The sequence below is a fragment of the Homo sapiens genome, chromosome 1, assembly GCF_000001405.40.
Source record: "Homo sapiens chromosome 1, GRCh38.p14 Primary Assembly".
Taxonomy (NCBI): Eukaryota; Metazoa; Chordata; class Mammalia; order Primates; family Hominidae; genus Homo; species Homo sapiens.
The window spans coordinates 202,878,282-202,894,579 of NC_000001.11; the positions used below are offsets into that span (position 1 = coordinate 202,878,282).

At 44.4% G+C, this 16,298-nt stretch overlaps 2 protein-coding genes across 10 annotated transcripts in view, besides 3 other annotated features; both read right to left on the reverse strand.

Moving 5' to 3' along the window:
• RABIF (RAB interacting factor) lies at positions 1-10,868 on the reverse strand. Its single transcript, NM_002871.5, has 2 exons — positions 10,692-10,868; positions 1-2,942 (listed from the first exon to the last, which is right to left on the reverse strand). Exons 1-2 carry the CDS (start codon positions 10,815-10,817, stop codon positions 2,697-2,699), a joined length of 372 nt encoding a protein of 123 aa, NP_002862.2. The 5' UTR covers positions 10,818-10,868; the 3' UTR covers positions 1-2,696.
• Positions 6,404-6,903: an enhancer, noted in NCBI's record as "H3K4me1 hESC enhancer chr1:202853813-202854312 (GRCh37/hg19 assembly coordinates)". NCBI's record gives its function as "activates a minimal SCP1, AML or CMV promoter by ChIP-STARR-seq in naive H9 embryonic stem cells {active_cell/tissue: H9 hESC(naive)}" and the evidence as "EXISTENCE:reporter gene assay evidence [ECO:0000049][PMID:30033119]".
• Positions 10,274-10,563: a silencer, noted in NCBI's record as "silent region_1709". NCBI's record gives its function as "represses an Ori minimal core promoter by ATAC-STARR-seq in GM12878 lymphoblastoid cells {active_cell/tissue: GM12878}" and the evidence as "EXISTENCE:reporter gene assay evidence [ECO:0000049][PMID:35858748]".
• Positions 10,634-10,903: an enhancer, noted in NCBI's record as "active region_2337". NCBI's record gives its function as "activates an Ori minimal core promoter by ATAC-STARR-seq in GM12878 lymphoblastoid cells {active_cell/tissue: GM12878}" and the evidence as "EXISTENCE:reporter gene assay evidence [ECO:0000049][PMID:35858748]".
• Positions 12,839-16,298, reverse strand: part of KLHL12 (kelch like family member 12) — a 37,480-nt gene continuing 34,020 nt past the window's right edge. For 5 of the 9 annotated variants that reach the window (NM_001303051.2, XM_011509837.3, XM_011509835.3 and 2 more), the window contains 3 exons: positions 15,903-16,001; positions 14,958-15,144; positions 12,839-14,378 (listed from right to left, as the gene is read on the reverse strand). In NM_001303051.2, coding sequence (NP_001289980.1) covers positions 14,252-14,378; positions 14,958-15,144; positions 15,903-16,001 — 413 coding nt within the window. In that variant the 3' untranslated portion in view covers positions 12,839-14,251. The remainder of the gene's footprint in view (positions 14,379-14,957; positions 15,145-15,902; positions 16,002-16,298) is intronic. The other 4 variants (XM_047426918.1, XM_011509836.3, XM_047426919.1 and 1 more) reach the window with 1 other exon arrangement.

A 16,298-nucleotide genomic window follows, 5' to 3' on the forward strand; every position in this document is an offset into this window, starting at 1 on the left:
AGGCTGCTAAAATCACTGCTAAGCCTCTGAATCACCTCCAAGTTTGGCAAATGCTCCCAGGAGAACGGTGGCCCTCACACCAAGCCCACCTCCCAGGGTTCCCATCTCCTCTGCTGTCCTGGTTTAGCAATTCTTCAAAGTCAAGTCGGCTCTCTTGGTGTGTTCACACAGATTTCTAAAGTATTTTGTCCAGCCTTTCTAGTTAACCAGTGAGCTGGGTAGTCCAAAGGACCTATCCACCATTATCAGAAGCAGAAGTCCTCATAGTTACTCAGTTACATGTGTAGCCTCATATACAACATGGTGACAATTTGTGAAATGTCAGTACACCACTGCCCATCTTTGATTCCATGTTTTTGTAAAACAACAGACAATTATGTGGAAACAATCAGGCTTTCACAAAATCAACTGCTCTCCCCAATAGAAAACGGAAGTTTCTATACTCGGAGCAGAAAGCACAGGTTGCCTCTATCTACCCACAGCAAATAGCAGCTGATTCACAAGTATGTACTGAGAGCCTATTAGGTGTGAGGGAAATGAAGAAATGACGTTTGCATTTTATAGCTGACTAGATAATCAGTTGGTTGACCTTAAGCTAAACCCCAAGGTTCAGGTTTCAGCTCTCCTTTGTTTTTTCAATTTATATATTCTTCCCAAGGACATGCAGAAATCTAATTTCCATTGCTTAAATGCCTTTATTTCTTTCAGATCAAACTGAAAAGGCAGAATAGCAACCTGATATTTTTGGCTACTAGGGCAACATTTGGCAGTTCTCAAAAAAGGAAATAGAAATGACCGATACGTATATAAAAGTTTCACTAGAAATAAAATAAATGCAAATTAAAACAATGAAATACTATGGTTTCCTATTCAAGTCGCTATATATTTTTTTGTTGTTACTGTTGTTGTTTGTTTGAGACAGGGTCTCACTCTGTTGCCCAGGCTGGAGTGCCAGTGGTGTGATCTTGGCTTACTGCAGCCACCATCTTTGGGGCTCAAGTGATCCTCCCACCTGAGCCTCCCAAGTAGCAGGGACTACAGGTATACACCACTATGCCCAGGTAATTTTGTTCATTTTTTAAATAGAGATGGGGTCTCACTATGTTGCCCAGGCTAGTCTCAAACTCAATTTAAAAAATGCTTAGCTTAGGTTCTGGCTTGTGATGTGAGGGGCCATGTGCCCCTAGAGGCATCTACTTGGGTTTTGCTCCTGACTTGTGTGGATAACTCTGTTTTTCTGCACATGCCATAACGATGGACATGTGACCGTTTGTCGGAAAAACACAGTTCTCTCAATTGCTTACTAAAGCTCATTCAGGCTAATTGGAGAAGGAAGCCATCTTTCCAGGGGAGTAGGTTGGTTGCAAAACTGTGCCCAAGGCCACCTTGCACTGCAGTCGGGGAGCCCTTAGAAAGTTTGGGGGTAAAGGAATGAGGAAGCAACTAGAAAACAATGGAAGGGACTTCAGATGGTAAGGTTTCTGTTTAGTACTTATTTCAATTTTAGGCCTCCTGAATAGTAGAGGTGGTGACAGGAGGATACCTGAAACCTTGGTTATATAATAAACTTCCTTCTACGACAGTGAGTCATTTCAGAATAGAAATGATGGAATAATTGGAAATCAAGTTGAAGGCTTAAACACGTCTGCTGATATCAAACTGTTAGAGCAGCCCCGGAGCTATGGAAATTTGTATCCATGCATCTGGATGGAAGTTTGTATCCTGGGTTGGCACAGAGATTCCAGTTGAACCAAAACTCCATGAGGACCATGCCCAGTAGGTTCAGTAAATGATACTATCCATTAAAGAAGTCTTGCCTATGAACAAAAGAAGAAAGTTACTTGTCCAGATGTGGCAAATTATAAACTTTTGTATAATGTGGCAAAGGCCTAACCCTCATATCCTACACCCTCCACTCTCATTCTAAGAGAGCCTGAGTAAACAGCCAGGGCTGGGTTTTCCTTGAATGGCTGCCAGATGGGGTTAAAATCTGCTTCTCACCTTCTAGGCTGTAGCAGTGAGGAGCTAATATAAAAAGAAACTACAAGATTTCAAGGGAAGAGGGACCACACCCATCTTCACAATAAAATGTCATTCTCAACCTAGAGCAGAGGTGCTCAAACATGGTATTAGAGATGCATCCAAAGTAATGTTTCTGGTTAGTGGTTTAAATACTGAGTTTTGAAAATGCTTTACCTTTAGAAAGAATAAATTACTGTAGATCACAAGGGTAGCCATACAACAAAGTCACTCTCAGATATTTGTATGCCTTCTTGAATGAGAAAAAGGCAGATTTCAACTATTAGTACATAAGCATCTTTTGTTATGTGTCATCATAGCTAAAAGGTTGAATACTGCTCTTCTAGAGCAAGAAAAAGCGGGAGCCCCTGGGCAAAACAGAGCCTAGGGAGAATGCCAGGGAAGAGATGAGATTTTTGGAGGTAAGCACAGTGTCCCAAAACTGGGGGAAAAGGGAGCTTAGGAAATGTGATACAAAGTGAACTAAGCAGGAGGCATGTACTTGAGGCTTTAGGAAGCAGGATTAACCCTCTGCATGTTCAAATGGACATGCTGGTACTCAGTATTTATATTAGCACAGACAAGAAGGCAGCGGAACAGTTATACCACATTAAAGGCCAGTTCTTGTGGGGAGTAGGTTTATCTTTGGAGATGGAGCTGAGTACCCCTCCCCTCAGTTACTCATGGGAAACTCGTTCCAAGGCCACATAGAAACTGTTCTTGTCATCTAGGCAATGCCAGCCAATTGGTCCAATTTCACAGTCTGCGCAGACCAGAAACTTGATGTTGCCCACGTCCTTGGTGAAGCCCACATTCTCAAAAATGAACATGTCCTCAACCAGCCAGTGTTCCTGGAGGAGATCGCCGTCAGGATTGCTGCCGTCAGACAGAGCTGGCTTCTTTCTCATGGAGGGAAGGAAAAGCTGCAGTGGGAAAGAACATAAAGAACGCAGAAGTTGAACTGGCCCAGTTCCATCAACACCCCCGTTCTAGGTACACTTCACATTGCTCCCTAGCAGGAATGACAAAAAAAGAGAAGCCCTCTCATTAAGCTGTAGACGATGATGCTGGGTGGCTCTTCTTTGCCTCTGGTCTCTGCCCTGATTCTTTTTTTTTTGTGAGACAGATTCTCCCACTGTCGCCTAGGCTGGAGTGCAGTGGCGCGATCTCAGCTCACTGCAACCTCCGCCTCCTGGGTTCACGCCATTCTCCTGCCTCAGCCTCCCGAGTAGCTGGGACTACAGGTGCCCGCCACCACGCCTGGCTAATTTTTTGTATTTTTTTTTTAAGTAAAGATGGGGTTTCACCGTGTTAGCCAGGATGGTCTCGATCTCTTGACCTCGTGATCTGCCTGCCTCGGCCTCCCGAAGTGCTGGGATTATAGGCGTGAGCCTGATTCTTAAGAGAAATGAAAGAGGGGCACCAGCTGGGTGGTCTGGGAACTCGGTTTCACTGCTGTCCTCAACATGGGCCCCACATGGTCCTAGTTTCCCCGGCTCATTATGCTTCAGGCACACTGGCTTTCTTGCCTTCCTCAAACAGCATTGGTCTGTTCTGCCCTCAGATCTTGGTATGGCTAGCTCCTCCTCAGTAGTCAGCTCAAACATAGCCTTCTCAGGAGGTCTTCTCTAACCAAACAACCTGAATTAGCTTTACTTACTGCCCACTGTATTTTGTTTAAATAGTTTTATTGAGGTATAATTGACATATGAACTGCACATATTTTAAATGCACATTAGCTTGGGCAACATAATGAGACCTAGTCTCTACAAAAAGTAGTTTGAAAAAATTAGCCAGGGCTAGGCGTGGTGGTACACACCTGTAATCCCAGCCCTTTGGGAGGCTGAAGCAGGAGGGTTGCCTGAGCTCAGGAGTTCAAGACCAGCCTAGGCAACATAGTGAGACCCCCATCTCTACAAAAAACACAAAAATTAGCAGGCTGTGGTAGTGCACACCTGTAGTCCCAGCCACTCATGGGGCTGAGGTAAGAGGATTGCTTGAGCCCAGGAGGTGGTTGAGGCTGCAGTGAGCTGAGATCACACCACTGCTCTCCAGCCTGGGCGACAGAGCGAGACTCTGTCTCAAAAACAACAACAACAAAAAAAATTAGCTGGGTATGGTGGCAAGTGTCCGTAGTCCCAGCTACTCAGGAGGCTGAGGTGAGAGGATCACTTGAGCCGGGGAGATTGAGACTACAGTGAGCCAAGATCATGCCACTGTACTCCAACCTGGATGACAGAGTGAGATCGTCTCAAAAAGTAATAAAATAAAATGCACAGTTTATTTCACTTTAGCACATGTATACTGGTGAAACCATTATCATAATCAAGATAATGAACACATTCATTTCCCCTGGAAGTCTCTTCATGCCACTCCTACTTGTTTATTGCTTATTTTCTGAAATTATCGTATTAATTTATTGGCTTACTTATTTACCACGTGTCTACCTCAACTAGAATATCAGCTCCTGGAAAGCAAGGAGCTTACTTTGTTCATTACTAGATCTCTAGTGCTTAGAATAGCAACTGGTATAGAGCAGGATCTCAACTATTTGTTAAGAGAATGAACATAGAATATCTGGCTTTGATCTATTCCATCACTATTAGGGATATACTGGATTTATCTTATAAAAAGAAAAATCTAGTTCTACAATTTGGAATTATTAGCTCTAGGATGCTTGTACCCTCCAACCTATATGACTTCTCAATCATTAGGAGAAGGCCTCTGGCACGCACACACACAGTTGCTTTAATTTCTTCAATATGGATAGTGTATACACTCTTAGCTGTCCCAGACTACCGCAAAATATCATGCCAGCCAAGTTTGTTACCCCTCTGCTCCTCATATGGCTGCTGTCATATCACTTATTTCCCATTTCCCACCCCACGATATACTTTTTTGTTTTTTTGTAATTAGAGATGGGGTCTCTCTACATTGCCCAGGCTGGGTTTGAACTCCTGGGCTCAAGCAATCCTCCAGCCTCAGTCTCCCAAGTAACTGGGGTTACAGTACAAGCCATTGTGTAATACTGTTACTCCAGTCATTCTTTTTGCCTCATGTTAAAGGTGTCCTTAACACTTTGTTCTACCTTAAACAAAAACAGCAACAAGTAGAGGCAAAGAGAGTTAGGAATCAAAATTAAGGAACCAGGAAACCTGGATTCTAGTCGCATCTGTAACTTTCTGTGGGCCTCAATTTTCCTAAATGTATTTCTGGCTTATCCCCTATACTGTAGGTGTGAAATCTCACATATCTTCACATAGATGGAGTAAACTTCAGTGGACTAGTTAAGACATCTAACCAATCAACCAAGAATTCAGTGTGTCCAACAAAACAGAAAACTGACTAAAGCATTAGTGTTCAGGAGGTGCCCAACAAAAGATCACCACCTTCCCTCTCTCGGTTCCCATTTGTAGCACAAAGCATCACCTGTCCAGTTGTCTCTCCTTTGATTTGTGATTTAAAGGTACTACCATAATTAACGGTCCATTCAAGGCATCATATTGGGTCCTGTTTGCTCTATTCCTCAACATTCCCATTTTAACTTAGATCATCTAAGTCAGGCCCACAAGACTATACTTATATATATGCATATGTATGTGCATCTCTGCCTGGATCTCAACCTATTCACTGCAATGCCAAGGACCATTGCTAGGGCCAGGAGATTAGCTACAACATCCGGAATGTAATGAGGCTTTCTGGATAGACTACTGGGGATGGCAACAAAAAAATTAGTATGTAATTTGAGGCAAACTCAACTTGGTGCGAAGTTGCCAGTGAGATCTCTGACCAGATGGGTTGGTTACCTTTGTTCTGTCAGGACCCCAGCGAATCCTGGACAACCTCTTCAGAAATAGACAGAACGCCACAACTCAGTGAGACTCTGCTGATATACTACTAACAGCACCCTTTTAAAAATAAAATACTACCTTTCTCATTGTAAAAATACATTTTCATTATAGAAAACTTGGCAAGCATGCTATAATACAGATGAGAATAAAAACTGCTACAATACAGAGTACACTTCTGTTAACTTTTTCGTAATCTTTTTCCCTTCTGGGAGTTACTTGTGTTGTTTTCAAAAAATTCTCTGATAATCCTTCCACCAAGAGTGGAGTCCATAGCCCTCTCCTTTGGTCTGGGCAGGCCATGGTGATTGCTTGACGAATATATGCAGTGGAAGTGACAGGCTGGTTAGAAAATGGCATGCAACTTTTGCCACTTCTCATGGGACACTTGTGCGGGGAGCCTTCAGCCACTGTGTTAGAAGTCCGGCTATCCTGAGGGTGCCATGTGGAGACCAGGCTGGGGGGGTCCATGTACGGACGGAGGTGGCCCCAAATCCTGTTCCAGTGCTCAGGTGTGTGAGCCCTCCCAGCCCACAGGCAGACGCGTGACGGAATGACCTTTCTGATTGCCATCACATCAGAGACCCCCAGTGAGAACTGCCTCGCTAAACCCAGTCGACCCCTAAATTCCTGAGCAAAATACATCATTGTTCGGGCCGGGCACAGTGGCTCATGCCTGTAATCCCAGCACTTTGGGAGGCTGAGGTGGCCGGATCACCTGAGGTCAGGAGTTCAAGACCAGCCTGGCCAACATGGCGAAACCCCCATCTCTACTAAAAAAATGCAAAAAATTAGCTGGGCATGGTGGGGGCACCTGTAATCCCAGCTACTCGGGAGGCTGAGACTGGAGAATCTCTTGAACCCAGGAGGCGGAGGTTAGGTGAGCAGAGATCGTGCCACTGCACTCCAGCCTGGGCAACAGAGTGAGACTCTATCTCAAAAAAAAAAAAAAAAAAAAAAAAAAAGAAAAGAAAGAAAAAGATGCTTAACAGCAACCCTGGCTTCTACCCACTAGATGCCAGTAGCACACCTCCCTCATTCTGACAACTAAAAATGTCTCCAGATATTGCTACATGTCCTCTGGAGGTCTGGGGATGCGGGAGGAATCGAGAAACACACTACTTTAGACTAAAGAACTCTGGAATATAAGATACAGTAACTCCTAGGCCCTGGATCACCTCAAAGGTAGGACTGGCAATCTAGTTCTCCAACTGTTCCCATCTGCAGACTACTAGGCTATTGCACTGGGTGGAGCGAGAGAGAAAGCTGTAGGCCACCTCTAGCCAGACTCCTTACACCTTTCTGCAGGCTTAACGGCTGGGAGCGCTCCTTTAACACCTGCAGAGATGAGTAACAGCCCTGCTGTAATTGCCCTAATGGTGGTTTATCTGCAATATGTCACAGTTATGAGAAAAAAGAGCTACCCCGAACCTTTACGGGGTTTACCCCAAAGCTTTAGTTAAGGAGCTCAGCATCTCAGAAGCTGCTTGTTCTCTCTAAGGATGGAACTGTTTTTCCCCACCTTAAAATGTGTGACACAGAGCAGGGAAAGGACTAATAAATAACTGGTTAGAATCTTCCATGAAATTTTCTACCTTCTATTTACATCATGTCCTAGAAGTTATATTTTTGCTCAAATTAGTATTTGAGAAAAGAAAGGAGAAAACAATTAGGACTGACAGTAAGGAGAACACTGGGTTGGATTACAGCTGAGTTGCTTGAGTCCAGAAAAAGGGATAGGATTCTTCCAACAGTTCTTTCTCAAGAAATAGGAAATTTCCAGAAATACTGAAGCCATTGTTAAAAAACACAACCCAAAAAAAAAAAAACCCACCTTTTTGCCTTTTTAAAAGAGGGAAAACATTTTAAAACACATAAAATGCATTAAAAAAATTCTTAGGCCCCTTTCTAGAATAGGGACCACTGTGTTCGTTGAGAAACAAAAAGAAATGTAACATATATAATTTAATTTGCTCACACAATTTTTGGCAAAATCAGTTTAAAATAGTATCAAACAAGAATTAAGAATTTTGACTGGTTGGAAGCTGCAGTGAGTCATGCTTTTGACAGAGCACAACGGGGAACGGGAACGGGGAGGGGAGGGGAGGTGGGAAGGGAAGGGGGGAAAGGAAAGCGGGGGAAGGGAGGGGAGGGGGAGGGGATGGGAGGGGAGTGGGAAGGGAAGGGAGGGAGGGGAAGGCAGGGCAGGGCAGAAGGTAGGTCCTGCCGGGCGGAGCGGCTCACCTGGCCAACATGCTGAAACCCCATCTCTACTAAAAATACAAAAATTAGCTGGGCATGGTGGCGTGCACCTGTAATCCCAGCTACTTGGGAAGCTGAGGTAGGAAAATCACTTGAACCCGGGAGGAGGAGGTTGCAGTGAGCCGAGATCATGCCACACACTCCAGCCTCGGCGACAGAGGGAGACTCCATCTCAAAAACAAAACAAAACAAAAGAAAGATCCTGGCCAGGCACGGTGGCTCATACCTGTAATCCCACCACTTTGGGAGGCCAAGGTGGATGAATCACTTGAGCCCAGGAGTTGGAGACCAGCCTGAGCAATACAGTGAGCGCGTCTATGTTTTTTTCTTTTTTCTTTTTTTTTTTTTTTGAGACGGAGTCTCGCTCTGTCACTCAGGCTGGAGTGCAGTGGTGCAATCTTGAACTTCTGCCTCCCGGGTTCAAGCGATTCTTGCCCCTCAGCCTCCCAAGTAGCTGGGATTACAGGTGCCCACCAACACGCCCAGATAATTTTTGTATTTTTAGTAGAGATGGGATTTCACCATGTCGGCCAGGCAGTTGTTGAACTCCTGACCTCAAGTGATCCGCCCAACTCAGCTTCCCAAAAGAGCTGGGATTACAGGTGTGGGCTATGTTTTGTTTTTTTTTTTTTTTTTTAAAGAAAAAACAATTAAGAATTTTAAAACAAACTATAAACTCCATTTAGAAGTCTCTTAATTTATGTCAGTTTATAAAATTAGACAAAACCTTGCCATGGAAAAGGAGTATGGGAACTAACCTATATTATGGGCTATATACTCGGCACAGTGCTAAGTGCTTTTATACAAATTCTTCCCTCTATCATCATCTTCATTTTACAAGCTTGTCCAACCCGCGGCCGGCATATGGCTCAGAACGGCTTTGAATGCGGCCCAACACAAATTCGGAAACTTTCTTAAAACATTATGAAAAATTTTTTTTTTTGCAATTTTTTTTTAAGCTCATCAGCTATCATTAGTGTATTTTGTGTGGCCCAAGACAAGTCTTCCAATATGGCCCAGGGAAGCCAAAAGACTGGACACCCCTGTTTTACACAATAGCAACCTGCATCTCATGGAGGTTAAATAACTTTTTTTTTTTTTTTTTGAGATGGTGTCTCGTTCTGTTGCCCACACTGGAGTGCAGTGACTCAATCTCCGCTCACTACAACCTCGGCTTCCCAGGTTCAAGCGATTCTCCTGCCTCAGCCTCCCGAGTAGCTGGGATTACAGGCTTGTGCCACCACCCCCAACTAATTTTTGTATTTTTTTTTTTAGTAGAGATGGGGTTTTGCCATGTTGGCCAGGCTGGTCTCACACTCCTGACCTCAGGTGTTCCGCCCGCCTCGGCCTCCCAAAGTGCTGGGATTACAGGCATGAGCCACCGCGCCCAGCCTAACTGTTTTAATGTTAATGAATGATAGTCAGGACTCAATTCCATGTATGTTTCAATTCCAAGATCCATGTTCTTTCCACTGACTCCATAATGCCACTAACTTCGTAAAATTAATTGAGAACTCTACTCCTAAACCTTGAAGTCTTAAAAGAACCCCGGGACCTCCACCAATCTCTAGATCAAAAGTCATCAAAATACCTACAAAACAACAGACACAGATTCCCTTTTTTCCTCCTTTGATGAAAGGCTGTTTTGGACGAATGGGTACCTCTTGCTCTTCTACTAGACATTACACTTCACCATCTGTTCAAGCACGTGAAATAATAAAATGATCTGCATATTTTTAGAAATAATTTTGAATGATAGGATGTGTCTATGGTTGAAATGACATTATATTTGCACTTCAACACAGTTTACCGAAATAAATTTTTTTTTCAACTTTCTCACTTGCGATGATGGTGGTAGGAAGGGTATTAAAATCCCTAAACTGAAGGGAAAAAAAAAGTTTTTCTTCGAAATTTACTTCCAGGACGTCAGGGATCTACTGCACTTGAAATATGATTCATCTGGAAAACCACAGGCTTCCAGTGCCTCGGTAAAGTGGGTAGGTTACCAGGGTTATTTTGCCGCGTCCCCAACACCAGTTGTTCCTGGGGATCCTCTGTGGAGCAGATAGGTGCCCGTCATAAATGAGACGGTGAATTCAGGACTGGCGGGTGAGGTCTAAAGTGGGAAAGGAACCCAGCAACACCCGCGGTGAGCGGCGGCCGAGAGGCACCTGCCGGGTCCTGCAAGCTGGCGGGAGCTCCGAGAGCCGGAATGGGGCGCCTCCCTTCCACGCGCCCGCGGAGCACCGGCCTTGGACGGCGGCGGGGCGCACGGCCCGCGCTCGAAGCCCCCCCGGGGGCAGAGGGCCGGGCTGGCTGGGCCGGGTGGCCCAGGGAAGGGTTCCCGCGGCAAAAGATGCCGGGGCGGGACCCGGTTCCCTCCCTAGCCTTCAGCGGCCCCAGGGGCGGAGCCTCGCCGAGCTGAGGCCCGAGGGGCGGGGCTTAAGGCCGCGCGAGGAGGGCGCGGTTGCCGGAAATTGAAGAGCCGGGGTTCAGATTCTGACTGCGGCGGCTCGTCGGGGGAGACTGTGGGTGTAAACGGCCTCCAACCTGCCTCCCTACCTGTCGGCGAGAGAAGAGAGCGGTCCCTGGCTGCAGCACCCGGGAGCCGCAACGCTGGCACAGCACCGCCTTCCGGTTTCGGCCCTCGGCTGACACTAACTCGCTCGGCTGCTCCGCTGGTTCCATCGCCGCTGCCGCCACAGGCTCCTCAGCCACGGCTGCGCAGACGCTGTCTCTGCTGGCTCGTTATTCACTGCGCTGGCGCGGCTTGGCAGAGGCGGGGCGGCGAGCGGACGGTCACTATGTCTCTGCGCAGGCGCCCGCTTCCCCGCTCTGGACTCTACTGCGCAAGCGCCTTCATTCATTGCCTAACCTAAGTGGCTAGGTGTCGGCAGGCTTTGTGACAGGGACACTTCTTGGCACCAGTGACACATCTCCATACCCACCTGGCCACTGGGCTTCACTTAAAACCTAGACAAATCATTAGGTTGACCTTACTGTTTAGTTTTCTGGGATCTGAATTTAGTCTCCTGAATAAATGGGGACATTATTGGGGGCAATATGAAGGGAATCTGGGTCGGACTTCCCATCAAGTTTTAGCCACATTAGCTTCTTCTATAGGAAACTACTTAGAGGGGCATGTATCTTTTCGGTATTGGAAAAAGATGCGTGGAAACTTTAATTGCTGGTCTCTTCTACTCATTGTGACCATTTACTATGCGGCAAAATGTGTCAAAGCGCCTTTAGAAACTTACTAAATCATCAGTTTCCTTACGGGGTCGGCACGCTTGTGCACAAAATGAGAAAGGTAAAGATCAGAAAGGTTGCAGCACAACTCTAAAGCCACTGCTCTTAATTAACTAGGATTGTCAGGAAAGCAAGATTATTTCAGACAGAACAGTATTATATATGAACAAGGGTGAGAACAAATTTAGGAATGGTTAGTAGACCACTGTGGCTGACCCACATTACACGTGGGGAGAAGTGGTAGTAGAGGTAGGTAAGGCAGAGTGGGCCCAGAGCTCCATGGCTTTAATGTCATGCTAAGGAATTTAACATTAATAACATGAACAATGGGAATCTGTGGAATTTTAGGCCAGAAATAACTGTTCGATATTTACTGTCTGCTGTATGTTAAGCACTGTAATGATCCTATCTGTGCTTCAGAAAGATAACCTATGAATAAATAGAGGGGCTAGATTGAAGAGAGGAAAAAGAGTAGAGGTAAGGTATCAGGTAGCTATTACCTCATCAGTCTAGCTCAGAAAGGCCCTGAAGCTAGCAGAGGGAACAAAGATATGGGAATGGACTTGAAACAATTAAAATTGTACAGAACTTAGAAACTAGCTGGATGTCTGTATTGTGATGGGGGTGACACAAAGCAACTGCTGGTTTTCCCAGGTTAGATAACTAAGTAGCTGGTTGCCAGTTATGGGAGCTTAAAAAAATAAGATGAACCACCAAATTAGGGGTATCTCTGTGTATGTATGTGAGCACATGAAAGTGTGTACGATTGTGAAGAGTGAAAAAGGAGCTGTTTTACGTGTTGATTTTTCTGTAGAACATACCATTGTGGCTTCAGTGTATGAACTATTTGTGAAGTTGGTCTGAAACTCATTAGTCAGCACTGAAGACAGCATAGGAGCCATCAGTCCTTCACCCTCCCCTGGATCTCTTCCTGAGATAGGAAAAGTCACGTTTTATAGGCTTTGGTTTAATTAGCATGCACAATCCATCTGCCAAAGTTGGTAGGCATCTTTTAAGGAAAATAACTTCCTCATGTGGCTCCTCCTTCCTTTTGCTCTGGAAGCATCAGGACTGTTTCAGTTTTGCAGGCCTTCCGCATAGCTGTTTATATCACATGCCACAATTCAAAGCAAATGGAAAAAAGGACTGGTGTGACTGAAACCCTGAAATTCAAGCGCGTGCTAAGTGAATTCAAGATCTTTTCTGTATTCCTTTTTCAAGTAACTCCAAGCGTCAGAGGGGCTAATGAATATGGCAAATCAGGTAAATATTTTACTGATGAGAATCTCCAAAGTGTAAAGTGGCTACCTCTTACCTGTGTCTAACATAGAAATAGCGGAACTAGTTGGCAAACACACAAGATGAACAGCTTGAAGAGACAGGAGCTACGGCTGATCCCTACATCTTTCCCTCCCAAATATCTACTAAAGGCAATGTTGGTTAGCCACAAACTCTCGGCATTTGAGACCGTTGATTTTTAATATTTTCTTAAAAAAATACAAAGGAAATTAACTCTGTAGGTCAATACAACTCAGGGAAAGAGGGAAAAATGGAATTTCAGAGCAAAGGTTGTTTAGGTTATCACATTCCCACACTCCTAATACCCACAAAACAAGAATTTCACTCCATGACACAGAGGAACATTGAATGGTAGCTCAGAAATGTTGATAGCTGAGGTACTGAAACTAACAAAAGGATTTTGGTTGTCCTTGATTATTCTGTCCTGTGATGAATAAAATCTACACTAAAGGACAGGTAAGGAAAACTTATAGCAGAAAAAAGACTAGATGTACCAAACACAGCAGTACAAACCACTCCTTGGCAGACATGTGCTTCTAAAAGAATGGGGCAGTAATCAGGTAGCTGAACTACTAGGCTACTGTCACTCCCAGCCCATCCCCAAATAAATAGTGTGGAAGTGTAATAGTGTAGTAGTATTTGATCCAACAAAGAAAGGCTTTCACCCCCATTCAAGGCAAACATTGCCATGGCTAGATGAGCCCTGGCAGGTAATAAGATGACTGTAAAATCACAGGTTCTTCTAGTTTATCCCCAGTTATACTGAACTCCCACATTGATGTCATCTTCTCTCATCCCAACATTTGTTCACTCTTTTATGCTGTCTCCAGTGCGAAAGACCTCGGGGAAATAAAAAGATCCTTCAAATAATATACCCTTCTCAGTCTTCCAGGTTATGTAATACTTCAGTGCTGTTCTAGGTTCACTCACAATCAAATTCAGTTTAATTCACTTAATTCTAACTTCAATTCTGATATACAAATCCTGACCTCCAAAAGAAGTGTCAGATGAGTCTCTCTCTCCCTTGTCCCCAAAGTTTTGTGGGGCTCTCCCTTTTGTTTCCCTCTAGAATGGAACTGTGTTGCCCCTAGCTACCTGTATATGAGAAAATGTAGTTGTTCCTGGAAAAAAAAAAAAAGACTTGGATTTTACCAAGTTTACTTAAACTGGTATCTTTCCAATCATCTAGGCTGGATATTGCCCATATCTAGTAGGCTATACTCACCTTAGTTCTTTGCAACATATGAGGCACAACATACATATAGTACACCAAGCATGTGGTAAGTTAGAAATGACAGGAAAGTGCTCCCCAAAGCAGTGGGAGAGGCAATGTGGTCTCTCACATCCATTCAATGTGCATTCTTTTTCCTGGAATATCTGTTACCCACCCTTCTCAGGAACAAGAACCAGGACGACGGGGAGTATGTGTCAAATAAGTACAATCATCACTGCACTGGTGCCTGTAATCACCCGGTGCACATAGTGAGAAACAGACATTCTGGAAAGGATTTTTGATTCTCCCACTAACTGTCCACTGGACTGGTCACTAGCTCTGGATGGTGCTCCAACAATGGTCACTTCTCGCGGAGAACACAAACACCAGCATCACAGCGCTGGGTTCCCATGGATGTCACGACTTCCCAGCTGTCGATGATAGGGTCATAACATTCAATGCTACTTAGCAGGGAATTACCATCATATCTGAGTGGGAAAGAAGCAAAAGAAAGAAATGAGTCAGCTGCGTGCAGTGGCACGTGCCTGTAATCCCAACTATGCAGGAGGCTGAGGTAAGAGGATTGCTTAAGCCCAGGAGGGAATTTGAGACCAGCCTGGGCAACATGGTGAGACCCTGTCTCAATAAAATTTAAAGAAAGAAAGAAAGAAATTAGCCTTCTATTCCTTTCCACACAAGTCCTTCATTAAGGCTGCCACTGGAGGCCAGGCATGGTGACTCTCACCTGTAATCCTAGCACTTTGGGAGACTGAGGTGGAAGGATTGCTTGAGCCCAGGAGTTGGAGACCAGCCTAGGCAACATAAAAAACTAGTCTGGCACAGTGGCGTGCACCTGTGGTCCCAGCTACTCTACTCAGACTCCAGCCTGGGTGACAGAGCAATACTCTGTCTCTAAAAAATAAAAAAAATCTAATAAAAAAAATCAAGTTGCCACTGGAGATGTCTACCCCTACCCAAGTCTTGTCTCTGTCCAAAAATGAGGATCAGATCACATAGACTCTTGCTCTGGCTACATATTGAGTCTGGATTCGTTTCTAAATCCTCACCCTGCAATTGCATAGAGTCTCCCCCGAAGCACTGTGGCCCCTACATAGCATCGTGGAGTGGTCATACTGGTGACAGTTGTCCAGGAATCAGTGCGAATGTTGTATGCTTCAACGGAAGAAAGGTGGGCTGTACCATCAAATCCCCCCACCACATAAATATGGTCATTCAGCAGGGCTACTCCTGCACCTGGGGAAAATGAATGCATTAGCAAATGTATGGTACTAAGCCTAGAATCTGAATTATAGAAATAAACTACGGTCACTAATGACTAGCTGAGTTCTACAGTAGATGAGGGATATGGAATGGGCCCACACGGGCCTAGAATAATCTAGTCCAGCACAAGTTATTCCATCTATAAACCCTTTGGCTTGGACTTGAAATGATAAAAGATAAATAATAAAAATGGTTCTCTTCTTTACTTTCATTAACTCAGAGCCCAACCCTTCTAATTAGGAGAAAGGGAGGAAGTGAAAAAAAGGTGGCAATAAAGGTAGATGGAGGGAAAGGAGTTGTGATTATGGTTCTGAAGCAATTTTTACCCAGAGTAAGTAAACTAGAACAGCACAGTGCTCTCTCCTTTTCTATATCCCAGCCTGCTCCACTTCAAAAAGCTCTTGGTGAAGGTAAGTAGCTACTCTTTTGTCCTTATGCATTAGAGACTTTATTTAACAGATATTTATTAAGCATGTACTACACAGGCAAAATTGTACTAGATATTCTAAAACGTAGGGAGAGAACAAAGACATGAAGGCTTTTGCTTTCAAATTTATAATCTAGTTGTAAGTATCAACTGTCTTTATCCTAGTATTTAGAGAAAACAGAGACAAGGAGGAGAGCAGAATCTCATTTTTACATTAATCTACGGTTTGTCCCATGCACCACCATTATATATGTAAAGGTCTGACAGCATCGCCTATTGTCCCCTCCCTCAGATCTGGTCTTACCAGAACGCTTGGTGGCCATTGGTGTAACATTAGTCCAATGTCCTGTATGAGGGTCGTATTTCTCAACTGAATTTAAGATATTCAAGCCGTCATATCCTCCTGGAAGACAGAGACCATTCCAGAAAGAGTGGTAAATCCTCATGCCCATTCCTGGTCGGTTTTTTTCTGAGTGCTTCAACTAATTATTTTAGTTTCAATTTTCCCACAAGAGTTCCAATAACTCTAAGAGAAATCTGACATTATGCTTATAAGAAAAAGATAATCCCAATTAATGGAAAATATATTAAGACACACCAGGGTTTTAGTTGAAGGGAAGTCTATGAACGTCATTTTGGTAAAAAGGAATCCTTACCCACAGCCCATTACCCATTGAGTTCCCTCCCATTCCTGCATCCC

Bases quoted from the DNA above. Each gene is read 5' to 3' on its own strand.
- RABIF (NM_002871.5), bottom strand. From the start codon at position 10,817: ATGGAACCAGCGGAGCAGCCGAGCGAGTTAGTGTCAGCCGAGGGCCGA. The intron at 2,943-10,691 runs GTAGGGAGGCAG...TTCCCACTGCAG, and splicing joins CTCTCTTCTCTCGCCGACAG to CTTTTCCTTCCCTCCATGAG.